The following is a 17,557-nucleotide window of genomic DNA, read 5'->3' as shown; positions in this document are numbered from 1 at the left end:
AGAATGTTTAGGAGAGAAGTTCTCTCATCCATTCATATTCAACTTCACGACCTTTGGAAATATGGTCTGCAGGGCCATGGAGTTTTATTTTGTTTTCTCTTTCCCAAAGCCCCGAAGGAAATGCAATAAAAATGAGGACTGGGGAGTAGTTTCCTAAAACTGATTAAAGCAAAAGATAATGGGGAATAATATATATTGTTATTCTAGAAAAGGTTAGAGATTTTTTCCGGAAAAAATAAAAGAGAAACAAAATCTTCAGGCTTGGTAACTAATGATGTTCGTGAAGTTAAGATGAATGTGAACAGAGATTAGGGGCTCTCTTTTGTAAAGAGGATTCAACTATGTGAGCATCTTAGAGATTTGGTCATCAGTAGTTTTTTCAACACATTGCAAAGGTAATGATAATATAATAATAATTATAATAATATGGCCACATTACATTTACAGAGCTTTTGTATGGATACAAGGCTGATTAGAACTGGGAACCCAGTGCAAATTACTGGGGCCAGGTGGTCTGGAGGGGACCAAGGCTATTAAATTTGTCAACATAAATCCCCTTGCTAGGGACCCTAATTTTTTTAGGGGTGCCAAACCAGCTCTCAGCAGGTTAATTTTCAAGTGCTTTCACACTGTGCCTTATTTGGATCTCTTAGGAATTTTATGAGGAAGACAGGAAAGGCATTTATGTCATTCCAGATTTATATATGGGGAAACCAAGACTCTTAACAAGGTGGCTGACTTGTCCAGAGTCACCATTGGCAGAGCCAGGACCTGACCAAGGCCTTCCAAGGCTGGCTTTGGTCTTCTCTGGCCATGCTGTGAAGGGCTGTGACAAAGATGAGGCCATCTAAGTAGCAATGGCAGCATATTCTAGGTCACAGGCATGGACCAACCAGTGTCGCCCAACTCCAGTCCTGGAGCATTTGTGCTTGGACCCCATGGGCACTCAGTGATCCCCTCAAAGGACAGCAGGGGGTGTCTGCTGTGTTGGCGAGCAAGCCTGACCCCTGTTAGGTCAACCTGTCCTAGTGGCCAAAGAAAATAAGCATTCCCTCTCTACCATTGCTGAATTCTTGTCCAGGGTGAAAACTTAACACTTCTCTTTGGGATGATGTTTCACGAGTACAGATAATTTTCTGAGATAAAGATGGTGGTTTCTGAGGTTCTTTAATAAAGACTTTAACTTGATCTCATTAAAATAACATAATTTGGTCAGGTGTGCTGGCTCACAGCTGTAATCCCAGCACTTTGGGAGGCCAAGGTAGGAGGATGGCTTGAGCCCAGGAGTTCAGACAAGCCTGGGCAACACAGTGAGACCCTGTCTCAAAAAAATACAATGTATGTATTAATACACTATTTCTATTTTTACTGTCTGGCTCCACCTCTCACCCTCCCTAACTGGGTATAAAACTTGTGACAGTGGGACTTTTTGTCTTTTTTCACTGAAGATCTAAAGTGCCCAGAACAGTGCCTGACATGTTGGAAGTACTGAATCATTATTGGTTTATTGGCTTGTTTGAATGAATAAATGGTAAAATAAAGAGAACATAGCAGAGGCTGACCATCTTCAATAATATGCTCATGTCCAACGAGGGTAAAAGGGTGTCACCACCTGTTGCCCAACAGGTAGTCCAAGTAGAGAAAGGAAGCAAGGGAACTGAGCCACCACGTGTTCCAGGGAACTGTAGGTACCCAGAAGCTAAAGGCACCCCTCCCTCTCTGACTGAGTGTATGGCTCAGATCCTGTCTTTTAAAAAACCATCCATTTGCACAAATTCTTTATTTTTTTCTAGAGACAGGGTCACCCAGAGGTTCCCAGGCTGGAGTGCAGTGGCATGATCATGGTTCACTGCAGCCTCAAACTCCTGGGCCCAAGCCATCCTCCCACCTCAGCCTCCCTAGTAACTGGGACTACAAGGTGTGGACTACCATGCCTGGCTAATTTTTTAATTTTTTTGCAGATATAGAGTCTCACTATGTTGTCCAGGCTAGCCTTGAACTCCTGAGCTCAAGTGATCCTCCTGCCCTGGCCTCCCACAAAACTGGGATTACAAGTGTGAGCCAGCATGCCAGGCACAGCAGTTTGCACAAATTCTGTTAAAATTTTTTAATTGATATGTAATAGTTGTGCATATTTTGGGGGTACCGGTGATATTTTGATTCCTGTATAAATGTGTAATGATCAAATTGGGGTACCTGGGGTGCTTATGACTTCAAACATTTTTCTTGGTGTTGAGAACTTACTATTCTTCTAGCTATTTTGAAATATACAACAAATTATCATTAATTATAATTTCCCTACTGTAATACTGGACAATAGAACTTATTCCTTCTATCTAAGGGTATTTTGTGCCCCTGAACCAACTTCTCTTTGTCCTCTACCTCCCCACTTCTTTTCCAGACTTTGGCAACCACCATTCTACTCTACCTCCCTGAGATCCACATTTTTTGAGCTCCCACATATGAGTGAGAACATGTGATATTTGTCTTTCTGTGCCTGGCTTCTTTCTTTCTTTCTTTTTTTTTTTTTGAGACAGAATCTCATTCTGTCGCTCAGGCTGGAGTGCACTGGCGTGATCTTGGCTCACTGCAGCCTCTGCCTCCCGGGTTCAAGTGATTCTCCTGCCTCAGCCTCCCGAGTAGCAGGGATTACAGGCACATGCCACCATGCCTGGCTAATTTTGTATTCTTAGTAGAGATGGGGTTTCGCCATGTTGGCCATGATGGTCTCGAACTCCTGAGCTCAAGTGATCTGCCTGCTTTGGCCTGCCAAAGTACTGGGATTATAGGCGTGAGCCACCGGGCTTATTTCACTTAACACAATGACCTCCAGTTCCATCCAGGTTGCTGCAAATGAAAGGATTTCTTTTTTTTTTTTGTGGTTGAATAATACTTCATTGTGTATACATGCCACATTTTCTCTATCTCTTCATCCATTGATGGGCACTTGGGTTGATTCTGTATCTTGGCTATTGCGAATAGTGCTATAATAAACAAGGGAGTGCAGGTAACTCTTTGACACACACACAAGTTCTTTAGCAATTATTGAATAGTAAATAGGGAAGGAAAATTTTCTGCTAATTTATTTTTCAAGGTTGACTTTTGGAGTGAATTATTGAATTAACTGTTCCATAAAAATGATAAATCAGTGGTTAAAAGTGAATTTGTTGTTCAAAGGCAAAAGGCCCAATGATGACATAATAAAGATGATGGATTGAATCTAGAGTCAGCAAACTATGGCCCTCTGGTCAAATCTTGCCTGGCACCTGTTTTAGTAAATAAAGTTTTATTGGAATGCAGCCAGGCCCATCTGTTTATGTATTGTCTATAGCTGATTTCATCCTGGAACAGCAGAGTTGAGTAGTTTGTGACAGAGACAGTATGGTCTACAAAGCCTAAAATATTTACAGTCTGGCTCTTACAGAAAATGTTTGCTGACCTCTGGATTAAATGATGGTCCATCATGTTAAAGTCAAAAGAATTGAGCTGACAATGAGGGAAAACCAGAACAATGATATCTTTCTGTTGGTAAGCTCAACACCAGAGACCTAGCTTCTGTAAAGCTTCATGATCCATCATAGTAAACTAATACTGTTAATTTGAATTTTATAGGTTTGGTAGTTTTAATTGCATTTATTCTGCAAGTTTGTTTTTATTTTATATTTGCATAAGTGCTAGAAACATATGGATTTATACTTAGATAAGTATTTGGATATATTAACTTTACTGTAAAATAATTTAAGTCAACCCCCTGGGGATTGGCGAGATGTTTTCTCCCCTTTAAATGTGTTCTCATCCTTTACTACTTAAATCTGGATATTACTGTTTTAAAGGCATCTGGTAGGAGCTTGTATCTAGGTTTTGCTGAGTTATACTGTGATCACTGTTCCCCTTTAAATGTGTTTTGGGCAGGAGAACAACATTATGAAAAAATTCTCTCCTTTCTAGTTTGATTCATTGTTTTCCTATAACTTAGAAAATTCAAGAGAGAAGAAACTTACTGGGAAGTGATTACCTAATTCCTGCTTTTTGTCCTTTTAAAATTTTACAATGGCTAGATTCTGATCACTGCCCCATTACTCCTCATCTTTGCAAACATGGGGCAAGTGGTTATGGCTGTTTGCTTAAAAAATATGTCTTCTCCTCTAAGCCAGTGAGCTTCTGGAGCCCAGTGAGCTTGTGTTTGGGCAACATGGGGGCTAGAAGGCCTATCCTGTTATTTGCTCTCTGAAGTTGGGCTGATCATATATTCCCAGAGCTTGAATTTGACAAGCACTCACTGTCTGATATAAACATGTACATCATTTATAGAATCTCTGTGTGTCAGAAGATCGTGATATTTTAGAGTTGAAGGAAAGACTGAAGTTCTATGAAGTCAAGGCTTTTGCCCAAGCAGAACTGGGATGGGACTAACCACTTTAGACAACTAAACAAAAAAATCTCCTGACAAAACAAAATAGAGAACATGGCAATATAGATCTAAAGACTTTGTTTACAATATAACTTGGAAATGTCACCTATTTTTATTTATTACTATTTTATTTATTATTAACTCTCTTTAATTTTGTCCTGAGTTGATTTTTATAGCTTCTTTTATAGAACATCTTCTATTTACTCTCTGTTCTCTGTCTTAGAGCAGCTTTCATGGTAAGCCATACTGTTCTGACCTATGGGTGGCAGAAGGCAAAGATTCCTGTAAGGATGCAAGGCTTTCTGCACTCTCAGCTTCCGATCTGAAACGAGCTCGGCCTCCCCACGACCTGATGAGGTTTGGCAGGGTCCCTGAGTCGGACTGGAGTGAGCTATTGAAGTATAAGTCTGCTCATGTCTCCCCAGCCTGATCCTGGTGATGGCTTTCCATAGCTTCACGATGAGAGAAGCCCTTTGTTATGCAGGCTTGGTAGCCCCCCACCCTTCCCCTCGCCTCCTTGGCCTCCTCTGCCACCTGCCTTCCTTACCTCCTCTTTCTGCTCCTGGCCAGCTGCCTCCAGGCCTGGTGCCCACTGCGTCCTTGTCCTTTCATCTGACTGGCACCATGTTATCCATGAGATCTCAGTCCAGTCAGTTCCTCGGGGAAGGCTCCCCTGCTTTTCCTGAACCAGCAGCTCCTTGTTACGATGCTGTCACAGCCCATGCATGTCTCCCAGAAGAATGAACCAGGATTGTGATTTTCATTCATTTATGTGATGGTCTGCCCCTCCCCTCCGTACTTGTGGGGAGCTCTATGAGGCAGAAATAGTGTCTTATTCTCTGTTGCATCCTTGACCCAGTGTCTGACATCTAATGCTGGACCATGATTGATTGAATAAATGAATGAATGAATGAATCCCAGCCCAGAGTCGGGGGAAGGATCTTAGCAGCAGAATGTGGTGGGAAGAGAACCCATCTGGAATCATGAAGACTTTTATTCAAATCTCTGGGTAATATTTGGCCTCTCTGAGCCTCAATGAATCCGTCTGAAAACAAGCAGTAAGTAATGATGCCCAGCAGGCACATACACCATGGAATACTATGAAGCCATAAAAAAGAACTAGATCATGTCCTTTGCAGCAACATGGATGGAGCTGAAGGCTATTATCGTAAGTGAACTAATGCAGGAGCAGAAAACCAGTACCACATGTTCTCACTCATTAGTGGGAGCTAAACACTGAGGACACATAGATACAAAGAAGGGAACAATAGACACCTGGGCCCACTTGAGGGTGGAGGGTGGGAGGAGGGTGAGGATTGAAAAACTTATCTATTGCCTACTATGCTTATCAACTGGGTGACGAAATAATCTCTACACCAAACCCTTATGACATGCAATTTACCTATATAACAAACCTGGACATGTGCCCCTGAACGTAAAATAAAAGTTAAAAGAAAAAGATTAAGTAAGCAATTAATGGAAAACATCAGGTCTTTCCTCCCTTCACTCAGATGCAGCTGGCCAGCGAGGCCCCTTTCTGTTTTCTAAAATTTATTTTACTTTATTTTTATTTTTTGAGATGGAGTCTCGCTCTGTCACTCAGGCTGGAGTGCACTGGCATGATCTTGGCTCACTGCAGCCTCCACCTCTCGGGTTCAAATGATTCTCCTGCCTCAGCCTCCTGAGAAGCTGGGATTACAGGTGCATGCCACTGTGCCTGGCTAATTTTATATTCTTAGTAGAGACAGGGTTTCACCATGTTGGCCAGTATGGTCTTGAACTCCTGAGCTCAAGTGATCTGCCTGCCTTGGCCTCCCAAAGTGCTGGGATTACAGGCTTGAGCCACCATGCCTGGCCCCCTTTCTGTCTTAGGTGGGAGCTTGGTCTGGACTCACCCAATGCTTTGGAAGCTGCTGGTGTGCCCACCTATGTGGGCCCCATGTCACAGGGCCAGGGATCAGCCTGGCAATCAGGCTTTGTGTGCTGGTGCCTCGAGAACAGTTGGGGGACTCTGCAGGGAAGGGACCAGACCTGGGAAGACAGGGGTTAAGCAGCCGCCACTTAAGATGCTCCGTCCTAGGGTGCACCCGTTCATCATGATAAGTGTCATAGTAAAATCAATTCTCTGTGTACTTTTGGGGATTACAACTATCATTTTGGTGTGATTTATTTGGTGTATAACACAAAGATGGCCATTTGTTTCATCATTCTGAAAGTTCATCTCAAATTGCTTTGAGTTTCTGGTTTTCAGGAGTGACATGTCTAATTGTTGTCATCTCGCCTATGAAATATGAGTGGAGGGTTGCACAGCTGCTGGCCTCGTTGCCTTCCTGGTTACCTGCATTTGTGCAGGGCAAGGTTTACTGCTTTGATTTCCCTTCTTTTCTCATGGCCCTCCCCACTCTGAAATCCACCTTTAGACTGACTGATACAGGGTTAAACCCTGGGGCTTTCTTCCCTGCCTGTCTTTGAGAACTTCTCTCTCCTGCAAAGATGGGAGGTGATCTCTGAAGTATGTTGGACTCCCCACACACTCCTGCAGCCTTCGCTGATCGGGGGGCACTGTCCCTCTCATGCAGCCGCAGTCCAGATCCTGGCCTTTGAGCCCATTTGCACTTGGGTATAGCAGATAAAAACTGCCCTTGGTATCTTGGGTCAAAAAAGGCTGGTTTGAGAGTTGCTCCACCAATTAACTGGCTGTGTGGCTTCGGACAATTCCCTCAACCTCTCTGAGTTTTCTCATTTACAAAACAGATGATAATAAAGTGAGGATGACATGAACTAATACCCTTGGCACATATCTAGTGATAAGCTAGGGTGCAATAAGTATCAACATGACCTGTTACCACGATCACTGCTGCTGGTTTCTGCACTGAGCTAAGCTGTGTGACTGTAGCTCAGTTTTCCCCATCTTGAAAATGGTCTCATGAGGTGTGTTAAAGGCCTGTGAGAAGAGGAGAAATATACTATGTGGGATGGGTAATAAAACTGCAGGTGGGAGACAAAGGGTGCAATTTAAACTCTGAAAGTTGCTGAGTCATTGTTTTTCCCTCCTCTGTTTTGCTGACAGAAGTGCTTGGTGCCCGGGCCCTTTGAGGCAGGCTTTGGGAGAATCCCACGACACTGGGGCCAACTGACGTTCAGACACTGTCAGTCTTCCCATCCGGCCATGGCATCTGCAGGGAGGTCTCTGGTTTATTCCTGACATCTTCTTACCATCATAACACCACCCGGCATTTATCACATGCAGAGACCCCTAAGCAATCAGCCTAAGGAGTTTTACTACCCCCCCACCTCCTGAAACACCTGCTCTATTTTCTTGAAATGGAGCAGCTATCCTTGTATAAATTCCTCTTATGATTAGGTCATTGCCTTGGCCATCCGGGCATGCTGTCATCAGGAACAGCCTGTCGTGGCTTCTTTCATCTGCGGAGTCCTTGATTTCTCTGTTCCTTCCATGGGAATGTGTTATCCTCATTGCCTCGCATCCAAATCTTCTCAACCTCCAGGAAGCCTTCCTCCTTCTCCCCATGGGCCACAGTCTCGCCCTCCTTTTTTCTTCCAGAACTCCTTGTCTGCACCTGTTTTGGTGTCTTTCAATGTTTCCTTTGCCTCAGGAAACTGTGCACCAAGGCTATTAGCTCATGTAATCCTCGCTTTATTATCACCTTGGTTTTATAAATGAGAAAGCTCAGAGAGGTTGAGGGAATTGTCCAAAGCCACAGAGCAGGGATGCTTAAATATTCACATTACCCACCCAACTCTATCTTAGTTCCCTTTGTGGGGCACTGTGTTTTTTTTCCTCCCAGTACTTACTTCAGTTTCTGGCACGAAATAGAACCTTCATATATTTTTCTCGACTCTTAAATGACTAGAAGGAAAATGATCAGGGCTTACTTCTCCTAAAGAACCTCTGTGGCATGTGGCATTTATAAACATGCCCAGTGCTTCCTCCTGTTTAGTCTCAGACCTGCATTTTGGTGATTATTTCTGCTTTGGGCAAGCCTTTTGTTTAAATCTCTCCTGTTGTCCCAAAGTGATGAGCTATGTTAAAGTTCCAAAACAGAGACAGGTGGGCTCTCTGAGGGTGGTAAGGGCAGGTTGCGGCAGTGAGGATGAGAAGGCCTGGAAGCTGAGCTGGGAGCACTCCAGGGGAGAAGCTTTGCTTGAGTGAACAGACAAGAGCAGCCCAGGCCTGGGAGCTGAGCAGTGGATGAGAGATTTGACCTCATACTGTGACTCAGGGCTTAGGGCACAGTTAATGGCAGAAGAACATTTCCAGGACCCATGGCGTCAGCCTCAACAAGCCCCCTACTCCTCTAAGTGCAAGGAGAGCCCACCTGCCCAGCAGCAAGTCAGCAGGGCCACTTAAGGCAAATGCCTCCTTCCTGTCCCCCTCTTCCTGCTCTGCTCCAGGGTGAAGGAGAGAAAAATCCCCTGAGTTACTTCAATTACATGGATGACTGGGGAGAGCTTTAGCACAAGTAATAGAGCCACCCGCTTAGATTGGATGGTGGCTAGTCTCTACCTCCGTCCTCCCCCTAGGCTGCTTAAATAGGCACCACTGACCTTCGAAGGGCACGTCACTAATGCAGGTGTTAACCTTAATGCCACTCACTCAGGCCTGTCATTAGCACTCATGCTGGTGACAGGTGTTTGTTGTGGCCCTGGCAGGAAGGTCAGAACCTTGGAGCTGCTGAGTTCCCCAAACTGAAGGCGACACTTGAGGGCTGGCATGGAGTCAGGCTTGAGTCGGCCTCAGCTGTGGTGTGGCCTCAGGGGAGGGAGGAGTCAGGGCAGGCTTTGGAAGTGCTCAGAGCTGGGAAAAGGGTTTCTTTCACGCCTGACTCCTCTTCTGGTGCCTGAGAGATTCTTTTAACCCTCTCCTCCATTTAGATCCTCCTACTGAGGGTCACAGATGTGTCGTGGGCCTCCTGGCTGGGGGACAGCTCTCAGACAAGCTTGGGCCGTTCCCATTCAGCCCAGCAACTCCAGAAGGCCGCTGGTCTCCTGCGGGCAGTGACAGGCAGTTACACTCTTTGGGGATGAGCCTCAGGCAGGCGGACAGGTCCCCAGGGGCACAGGGGTTTTGATTTTAGCCCCGACAGGCGCCGTGCTTCATAGCGGCCTCTCTGTGCCTAACCTGGCCGGCGCCTCTACTGGAGAAGCTGGAGCTAAAACCCAGACAGCACTGTGGATCTTCCCATCGACAAACAGAGGATGACAAGCTGCTTAGCTTCCTTCTGCTCACTGGGGGAGTGGGGGCTGGCAAGGGCGTGGGGCTCAGGCCATTGACACTGAGTAACCCTGGGATTTGCCTAATGACACTTTCTCACATTTTTACTATCCATTTCTTCTGCTAAGTCATTGCTGTCATAGCCATTGTGGCTTGAATTCTCGGTACCTTCTCCCTCCTTCACTCTTGGGCATAATAATAATAATAACAACCTCCACCACCAAGGCCATTTATTGTGCGTCCATCACGTGCCAGGAATTTTATAGGCATTATGCCATTTAATTATTATAACAGTACTATGAAGTAGTCATCGCCATCCTCACTTTATTGGTGAGAAAATGAATGCTTGGAGAAGATGCATGACTTGTTCAAGGTGGAGCCACGATCTAACCCCAGGTCTGAGTCATGCCCTCTGGTGCAATTAACCCTCCCTTTTGCAGCTGCAGCTGAGAGTGTAGTTCACCAGTCCACTCAGTATTCTGGGTTAGGAGTGAGTTTGACGCAGCTCCACCAACTCAGAGAACTGAGGCACAGAGAGGTGAAATGCGTCACCTCAAGTCCCACAGCTAGCCTGTGACTGAGTTGGAACTCATCTTGACATAGCTGATGAATAACTTGGTTGAGCCCAGCACTGCGCCAGGACCTTTAGGGAGTACCAAAAAGAATATGTCCAATTCCCAGTGATTTGCCATTTGCTGGAAAAAGAGAACTATATTCATTGTTCATATTTATTGAGCTTTTGCTTTGTGTCAGGTGCTGTTTTTTTTTTACATAGAGTTCTCATAACTATGGGGTATGTACTATCAATATCCTCCTTTTATAGGCAAAGAGAGTCGGCTCAGAGAGGTTAAGCAACATATCCAGGGACACAGCTAGGAAGAGTGGGAGATAGGACTTCGATCCGCATCTGGCTGACCGCAGGGCCCTGGCTCTTACTTTTTTTTTTTTTTTTTTTTTTTTGAGACCTAGCTCTTAACATTTTAAGCACAGAGAAGCAACTAGAGAACCAGGAAGGCTAAGCTGCAAAAAACAGACTACAGCGGGACATCAGAGAAGAGAGCAAGTGTGTGGGCTGGGGTTGGTTAGGGGAGAGGAATCGGGAGATGGTGACCTGGGAGGAAAGAATGTCCCAGATAAAGACTGGGGGTTAAGAAGGGTGAACTGAGTCTCAGCTGTGTGTGTCTGCTTGAAGGTGGAGGGGGGTGACTCTCTATTTGACTCTCAGCTTCATTCATAGCTACTCCCACCTGATGGGCTGATTCCAAGCATTCTTTTGGGAAGCTAAAGAACTTCAACTTGCTGCGTAGGAGATACAAGTGTTTACATGTCATGGGTACATATGTGGCAGAGTGGAGAAGAATTTGTTTGGAATTGGATTTAAATCGGACACTGCCAACTACTCACTGTGTGTCTTTGGGAGTCTCTCAGTTGCACTGAGTTCAGTCGTATTGCCTTTAAGAACTGGATAGTAATAATTAGATTATCTATCTCATCATTTGGAAAGTACACATGATGAGACAGACAATCCTTGATAATCACATGAGCTAAGGCTCAGGTGGCAAGCCTTTCATAAGTTACAAATTGTCCCAAGTTATGATGAATTACATGTGACTACAAGAATGTTTGGGAGTAAACAGGTTGTGCATGTGTATATGCGTATTTAAGTGGTTATGATTATGTTTATGTGTTCAACTATAAGTATGAATATTGCGGGGTGCAGTGGGGTGTGCCTGCAGTCTCAGCTACTGAGGAGGCTGAGGTGGGAGGATTTCTATATAATGAGACCTCATCTTTTAAAAAAAACTCAGGCTGGGCGTGGTGGCTCATGCCTGTAATCCCAGCACTTTGGGAGGCCAAGGCCAGTAGATCACCTGTGGTCAGGAGTTTGAGACCAGCCTGGCCAACATGGTGAAACCCCGTCTCTAAACCCCGTCTACTAAAAATATAAAAATTAGCTGGGCGTGGTGGCGGGTTCCTCTAGTCCTAGGACTCAGTGGGAGGTTGAGGCAGGGGAATTGCTTTAACTTGGGAGGCAGAGGTTGCAGTGAGCGGAGATTGAGCCACTGCACTCCAGCCTGGGTGATGGAGTGAGACTCTGTCTAAAAAGAAAAAAATTTCAAAGTTTTAAAAAAGTTTTAAAGAAGTGAATATTGACACCTGTGCATATTGTATGTGTGTGCTTAATCTTTGGTCTTGTGGACAGGCCACTGTGAGACATTACCCAGCAACAAACCCCATAGAGATAGTGTGTGAATATACTTCTACTGCATGAGTCCATATGCCAACCACAGTGGCTCCCCCTTGGGGTCTTGTGACCTCAATAACCCTGTGAGATGGTTGCCAGAATCACCATTTTTTAACATGGAACCCAGCCTGATTTTGAACTAAGTTGTGCTGACTCTGCAGCCACCGCTACTCTTTCTAGAAACCAGGAGTCCCTCTAACTGCAGCGAAGGCAGCTGGTGTCCTGCGGAAGCGCCTGCCAGGCAGACTCCCATCTTCTTCTGGGGTCTCATGGAGCCCCTATCTCCTTAGCACCTCCCACCCCCCACAGTGTCACAAGGAGCTCATTTCACTCCCCTGGGATACTGTGGGTGCCCCCCAGACTCCTGATCACTCGGCCAGAGGCCAGGGTTCTCCTGACCTCTTGGAGTCTCTGTCTGAGGCCCAAGGCTCTGACCCTCCCTCCTGTTCTGCAGGGGATGGTGTTAGAAGAATGGTGTGTTCTCTTCTTCCCACCCAGTCTTCGAGGAAGCTGCCCTTTTCCCACCTGGCCCTGCCAGGCCTGGGCTTGCACCTGGAGAGGAAGCCAAGCAGGAATTTGGAGATTCTCAGGGGCCCAGGGAAGACCCTCCTGCCACCCCTGAGGGGCCACAGTGAATTCATCTGTCATTCAGCCACTGTGTGGTTGGTTCTAGGTCCTGCTGGACTTGTGTTACTTGCTCCTCTACAGGAAGCTAAGATCTCTCGGAGAGGTCTGGAATTCCTACTGAGAATTGACTTCAAACATCTGCCCTCTGGCTCTGAATGGAGCCTGCCATCCCTGGGCTTCTGTAGCTTTTGAAGAGCTGGGTGGGTTGCGAGCCCAGGGGGCTTGTGGAAGGGTGATTGTCACTTCCTGCCTGACACTGACACCCTCATGGTCATACACTTCAAGAGGTGCCTATAGACAGTGTCCTGTGGATGGAAATAGCCTACATCCCTACAGCACAACCAAGGACATCGCAGGATAAACACTGTACAGATCCTGACACATAATTTGAAGGTTTAACTAATTTTACTCTGATTATGAAAATGATATACACCTGTTGTAAGAAATTTAGAAAATATAGACATGTATAAAGAAGAAATACAAATAACTCATCATCCTACCACTGAAAGAGAGCCGCTGCTTTCCTTTTGTTATCTTTCCTTTGATTCTTGCCCTCTCTCTGCCCAATACGCAGCTATGTCTCCTGGGTGTGCATGGTGTGTGTGTCTCTGTAATTAACACACTTCAGTTTCCTCCAAATCAGAGAAGTGCAAGCGAGAGGCCTGGAGGTTACTCCTGGCCCCTCCCTTTCACTCTGTCTCCCGCTCCCCACTCCCTATCACCCTCTTCTATCACAAGTCCTTCTGATTTGCCTTTCTTTTCATTTGCAGTCTGCTTATCTCGCAGCTTCCATCTTCTCCCACCCGAGGCACTGCAGTGGCTCCTGACTGATCTGCCCATATCCATACTCTACCCTCTTTTCAGATAGCACAGGAGTTAAGTTTTTTGGGGGTAGACTGCCTGGCTTTGCCTGTTACTAGCTGTGCAACCTTAGGGAAGTTGCTTCACCTCTCTGAGTCTCAGCTTCCCTGTCTCCTAAGATGAGGAGAATTAAATAAGCAAATACACGTACAATACTTAGACAGGTGCCTGATGCCTTAGCATGCATTCTCCATGGGGCAACCAGAGGCTCTTTTGGAAACACAGATATGATCATGCCTCCCCACCATGGAAAATATGGCAAAGCTTTCTTTCCCACGGCCTTGAGGATGGCCACCAGAACCCTAACTTTAAGATTGCATCGTTTGGTCTCCATCCCGCTCTCTGATCTCCACTTACACCTCTCTCTCTCTCTCCCTCCCTCCCTCTCTCCCTCCCTCTCTCTCTCTCTCTCTCTCTCTCTCTCCCTCTCTCATCCATCTATGTTGGCCTCCTTTTAGTCCGTGAAGCTGCTGCTCTTGCCACAACATCTCGCTTATTCTCTTCTCTCTGCTTGAAAGACTTCCCCTCTTCACCCTATTCACATATAATGTGCTTCTTGTACATGTGATTTTTTCCCCATGTTTTTCTGTTAAAAACGACATAAATATGTCTTTGCATATAAATCTTCATGCATACCTCTGATTATGTCCTCAAAACAGACCCTTAAAAGCAGAATTTCTGGGTCAAAGGTTATGAACATTGTTTAAGTCTTTTGATGAATATTCCAGATCACTTTCCGGAAAGCAAACACACGCACTTCTCAGCCTTCTTGCCACATTTCTGTTTCCTGGGCTTCCGTGGCATTTCGTTTGAATCTTTCATCTAGCAGTGACTGCATCTCCTTTATAATAATTTATTTGCTCTCTGTCTCCTCAACTAGACTGTAAGCTGTTAGAGGTAAGGGCCATGTCTAATTCATCTTTGTGCCTCCCTAGAGACCTAGTCCATGGCAGGTGCCCAGTGAGCATTTGCTGAGCTGGACTGAATTGATCATGAGTTGTCAGTTCCTTTCCACATTGGGCTGGAAATCAGGAATCCAGATGTTTGCTAATAAATCAGAAGGCCCCAAATGTCTAAGAGGAAAACCCCAGCACTCACTGCATGCTGGTAGGGGTCTCTCTCTGTCCATCTCTGTCTCTGTCTGTCTTGGGCTCTCTTGTTTGTGTCTTCCCTACCTGATAGTTGAATAAGAGAAGAGCCCAATTTAAAAGCTATATTTTCTAACTCAGAAACAGAAAGTAAATGCTGCATATTCCCACTTATAAGTGGGAGCTAAATAATGTGAACACAGGGACAGAATGTGGAAGGATAGGCATTGGAGACTCAAAAGGGTGGGAGGAGGGGAGGGGCATGAGGGGTGAGAAAATACTACTTTTTTTCTTTTGAGACAGGATCTCCCTGTATCGCCCAGGCTGGGGTGCAGTGGCATGATCATGGCTCACTGCAGCCTCGACCTCCTGGGCTCAAGCAATCCTCCTGCCTCAGCCTCCCGAGTAGACTGGCACCACCACACCAGGCTAATTTTTGTATTTTTTATAGAGATGGGGTCTTGCCATGGTGCCCAGTCTTGTCTGGAACTCCTGGGCTCCAGAGGTCCACCTGCCTCAGCCTCCCAAAGTGCTGGGATTACAAGTGTGAGCCACTGAGCCCAGTGGAGAAGTTACTTACTAGGTGCAATGCATATTTTTCGAGCGATGGCTACACTAGAAGCCTAGGCTTCTGATGAACCAGCGGCTGATGGGGGCCCTGGACTCAGGAAGGCCTGGCTCACAGTTTCCTTTAGGGGGTACCCTCAGGACCCTGCCTCCTTTCCTTTGCCCCATCTCCTTCCCTTTGCCCCCCCAACCCCGCTGCCCTCACTGGGGGTGTCTGTTCTCAAGCTCACCCCGGGTCTGGGGCATTCCTGTGGCCAGGGCTCTGCAGAGCCCTGCTGGCCCCCTCCCTCTGAAGGCTGTTTTACTGGACACTGCCTTGTTCTGGGCTGGACACTGAGCAGCTTAGAACCTGCAGTTCAACCTTTTGAAAGCAGCTGGGACAAAGCCCCTGTGTCCCCGGAGAGCCCCTGGGGGCCGCCTCTGAGAGCCCGGGAGTGTTTGCCATTTGCTCAGGAGAGTGTCGCTCAAAGCTGAGCTGGGCTGTTTCCCCTTTCCAGGATGTTTGGCTTGGAAAAGCGGTGAGGGCTTCATCTGGACCCTCCTGTTTTGAGATGGAGACCTGGATGACCCCTGGCCTGGCTTCCTGTGGCCTATTTGCGCTTTCTCTGTCACACTCCTGCGTGTATGACACATGCTTGCTCAGTGTTCTAAGTGCATTACAAATAGTAACTCATTTCATCATCCCTCAAACCCAGTGAGGTAGGTGTTATTATCCTCAGTTTATAGACAGGAAACTGAAGCTCAGAGACACAACCAAGCTAGCCAGAGGCTGGGCCAAGGCTTGAACCAGGTGATCTGGTTTCAGAGTTCAGAGTCCTAGCCTTGGTGTCGGGTCTGTGGGTCCTGGTTAGGCAATGTGAGCCTACTGGTGTGTGTATGTGTGTATATGAGTGTGTGTGTGTGCATGCATGTGGATGCGTACATGTGTGCATGCATGTGGGTGTGTAGGTGTGTGCATGTGCGTGTGCATGTGTGTGGGTGCATATGTGTGTGCGTGCGTGTAACTGTGTAGGTGTGTGCATGTGTGTGTGCATGTGTGTTGGTGCATGCATGTGTATGTGTGTGCATGAGTATGTGTGTGCATGTGTATATGTGTGTACATGAGTGTGTGTGCATGAGTGTGTGTGTGTATATGTTTCTACATGAATGGTGTGTGCATACGTGAGGCTCTCAGCACTGGTAGCACCGAGGAGGCAGTGTGACCTATTCACACAGTGGAAAGAACTTAGCACTAAGGTGGCCCTGAGTTTGATTTCTGCCCCGCCCCTCATAAGCTGTGTGTCTTTGGGCATGCTGCGTCACTTCTCTGAGTCCTGATTTCCTTATCTGTAAATGGAGTCTATGTTATCTATCTCAGTGTTGGTTCATTTCCGTCAATGGCTAAGGACGGTACCTAGCACATGGTAGACCCTGAAATAAATATTATCCATCTTCTCCTTTTCAGTCCTTCCAGGCAAGCTAAGAGGTGGAGGGAGTTTATTTGAGTCTTTACCTGTGGTGCCCTTTCTTCTGTTTGCCAAAATCTCTTTTCACTCTGGGCACCCATCCTGTCACTGACTCCCCCAAAAAAATATCAGTTTCACTTGCACCCAAGCATTGGCATTATCCTTCCCATCCGTGTGAACATTGATTAAAGGAATGGAAGAAGATGGCACTGCTCAGCCCAGATGCTCAAGCCCTTCAAAGGGGCAGAAGACTCCTTGGTGCCTCCCAGATCCCCCTCACCTGTCCATTTTGTGGTGTTAAGGCAGATTCTGGAACAAGCCTCCCCTTCTCTGTCTTAGGCCCTGTGTTTGGAGGCTTTTCTCAGAGTCCACACGCTCTACTTTGTCCCCAGGCACCATCCACTTGGCTCTGGACGACGCCCTGCCTGGCTGAGCTGCCCTGGGAGCTGTCAACACGGGTGTGCGTGCTGGTATGCTGGCCTGGGGGTTCAGGAGAGAGAAGGTGTGGGGAGCAGGGAAAAATGCACTGGGCTGGTTTGCATGACCCGCCAGCATGGAAACCGCCTGCTAATCACGGTGCACAGCTGAGGGTGCCCAGAGCAGGATGAGGAGGGAATGCGGGGTTGAGCTGTCACGGGAAAGGGAGCAGGCTCTGGGACTCAGAGCTCAGGCAGGCTGCTTTTTGTTCAAGGTAAACAAAAATATTAAAATTGTTTAACATCGAGCTAGTCTGCCTGTAAGGTAGTGAACTCCTCATCTTTACAGGTATTCCAGAGGCTGCATGCTCACCTGTGGGTGCTGTGGGAGCAAGGACAGTCGCACTGGGAGAAAGGTGTTTCCCTTCAACCTCACGATTCCCCGAGCCTATGACTGGATTCCTGGCCTGTGGTTTTCAAACTTCAGAGTATAGGCCTTTACTTTTGTTTAATAACATGTAGGTTGTACTAACCAGGTGCCAGGCTGTGGTCTAAGTGCTCACAAACATTAGCTCATGTAATTCTCATCAGAACTCTGTGAGGTAGGTACTCATATTTCCATTTTATAGATGGGAAAACTAAGGTGTAAATAGGGAACTTG

General features: G+C 46.4%; 1 long non-coding RNA gene across 1 annotated transcript in view, besides 3 other annotated features; it reads left to right on the top strand.

The window, feature by feature from the left end:
• LOC105379380 (uncharacterized) overlaps positions 1 to 17,385 on the top strand; it is a 55,679-nt gene extending 38,294 nt beyond the window's left edge. Inside the window, exons 2-3 of the long non-coding RNA XR_949685.3 lie at positions 16,873 to 16,950; positions 17,246 to 17,385. This is a non-coding gene — a long non-coding RNA (uncharacterized LOC105379380). The remainder of the gene's footprint in view (positions 1 to 16,872; positions 16,951 to 17,245) is intronic.
• Positions 8,838 to 9,387: an enhancer, noted in NCBI's record as "H3K4me1 hESC enhancer chr8:37468423-37468972 (GRCh37/hg19 assembly coordinates)". NCBI's record gives its function as "activates a minimal SCP1, AML or CMV promoter by ChIP-STARR-seq in primed H9 embryonic stem cells {active_cell/tissue: H9 hESC(primed)}" and the evidence as "EXISTENCE:reporter gene assay evidence [ECO:0000049][PMID:30033119]".
• Positions 9,388 to 9,937: an enhancer, noted in NCBI's record as "H3K4me1 hESC enhancer chr8:37467873-37468422 (GRCh37/hg19 assembly coordinates)". NCBI's record gives its function as "activates a minimal SCP1, AML or CMV promoter by ChIP-STARR-seq in primed H9 embryonic stem cells {active_cell/tissue: H9 hESC(primed)}" and the evidence as "EXISTENCE:reporter gene assay evidence [ECO:0000049][PMID:30033119]".
• Positions 14,814 to 15,324: an enhancer, noted in NCBI's record as "H3K4me1 hESC enhancer chr8:37462486-37462996 (GRCh37/hg19 assembly coordinates)". NCBI's record gives its function as "activates a minimal SCP1, AML or CMV promoter by ChIP-STARR-seq in primed H9 embryonic stem cells {active_cell/tissue: H9 hESC(primed)}" and the evidence as "EXISTENCE:reporter gene assay evidence [ECO:0000049][PMID:30033119]".
• Positions 17,386 to 17,557: the final 172 nt, after the last annotated feature.

This window comes from Homo sapiens, chromosome 8 (genome assembly GCF_000001405.40).
Source record: "Homo sapiens chromosome 8, GRCh38.p14 Primary Assembly".
Lineage (NCBI taxonomy): Eukaryota > Metazoa > Chordata > Mammalia > Primates > Hominidae > Homo > Homo sapiens.
Note: the sequence above shows the minus strand (reverse complement) of the source record. Positions and strands in the feature narration are given on the sequence as shown.